Here is a 1,852-nt window from a genome sequence, read left to right as displayed (position 1 = left end):
GTTAACACCTATGGAAAGAAGAGAAATAAAACAAAATTGGATGGAGCGAGAACTCCAGCTAATCATAGGCGTGACAACAGACTTAGCCTTCCCCACGAGGACTGTACAGTGTAAATGGCGCATCAGAGTTGTTCTGTGTTGGGCTGAAGTGGCCTGGCCTTATACTCCTACCTCCATCAGGATGTGCCCACCCTACCTGCTCAGGAGAGGTGACTCTGCAGCTGAGGCAGTCCTTGAAGGGACAGCTAGGGCAAAATGTCCTTCTTTGAAGGGAGATCTGGGTATGTTTCATCTACCCTACCCTCCATGCACGCACACACACGCACACACATACACGCCATATATATAGCTTTAAACAAAAATATGATCATATTATCTATGCTCTTATGACACTGACATTTTTTGCTTAGCAACATAGTGTAAACATTTTCCCATGACCCAAAATATACATCCCATTCATTTTTAATTACTGCAGATATTCTATTGAGTTGTACAATACTTCATCAAATACCTGTTGATGGGCATCTGAGAACCTTCCTAATTTTTGTCTCTACAAATAACTTGATCATGAACATACTAATGTTTGTATCTTTTCACACATGTGTAATTATTGCCATAAAATAATTCCCCCAAGTGGAATTGCTGAGCCAAAAGGTTTGCATTTTTACATTTTGAGGTATAATGCTAAATTACCTCCCAGAAAGCTGCACCAGCCTACCAGAGCACTGAGGGTAAGCCACATCAATCTTTTTTTTTTTTTTTTTTTTTTTTTTTTGAGACAGAGCCTCGTTCTGTCACCCAGGCTGGAGTGCAGTGGCGCAATCTTGGCTCACTGCAACCTTCACTTCCTGGGTTCAAGCGATTCTCCTGCCTCAGCCTCCCAAGTAGCTGAGATTACAGGCATGCACCACCATGCCCGGCTAATTTTTGTATTTTTAGTAGAGACGGGGTTTCAGCATGTTGGCCAGGCTGGTGTCAAACTCCTGACCTCAAGTGATTCACCCACCTTGCCTTCCCAAAGTACTGGGATTACAGGTGTGAGCCACTGCACCCGGCCCACATTGTTTTCTTAATAGCATTCATTAATGAGATGTTAGGTTAAAGCTGTTTCATATCTTGACAGATTGTAATTTTTCATTTATTTTTCCCTTTGTGAATTATCTCTACTCACCCTTTGCACATTTTTCTCTGGTTTGCAAGTATCTGTTATATTGAGGTTAATAAATCTGTCTGGTATATATGATACAGTATTATTTCCTAATGCATAGTTTGTGTCTTAATTTTTTCTTTTTCTTTTCTTTTATCTATTATTTTTTGAAAAAAATCCATTAAATCCATCTCTTGTCTCTTTTAGAGATTCTGGTTTAGATGTTACTCCTTACCAGTTTCTCTCTACCCTTAGTTTATAGAGATATTCATCTGAGTTTTCTTCTGGTACTTTTATAAATCCTCACTTTCACATTTTCTGTTAGTAAACAGTGTAAAAAATAGACATTCTCTCATCAGTGCACTTCTTAATCTCATCTAGTTCTCAAACCACACTGAGTTACCTGTTACTGAGAAAAGTAATAAATAAAACATTGGTTTTACATTTCAAAATGGTCATTTTGATGGAATTGCATCTAGTTGGCTGCTTTAATAGTCTTACTCCGTCAGAAATGCCCCTAAATACCTGCCATGGGAGGCTGAGTTGGGAGGGGGTTTCTTTCAGCCTCTAGCATGCTAACCTCAGGCAACCCACTGAGGTGTGAGCTAAGGGCACACCTGTGTGCAAAATGAAGTTCCAAAAGTCAGCACCTCTTCTAGGCATTCTTCCTGCTCACCCCTACCTTACCCCACAGTTTCCTTTCCT

Source organism: Homo sapiens, chromosome 6 (genome assembly GCF_000001405.40).
Source record: "Homo sapiens chromosome 6, GRCh38.p14 Primary Assembly".
NCBI lineage: Eukaryota > Metazoa > Chordata > Mammalia > Primates > Hominidae > Homo > Homo sapiens.
Note: the sequence above shows the minus strand (reverse complement) of the source record.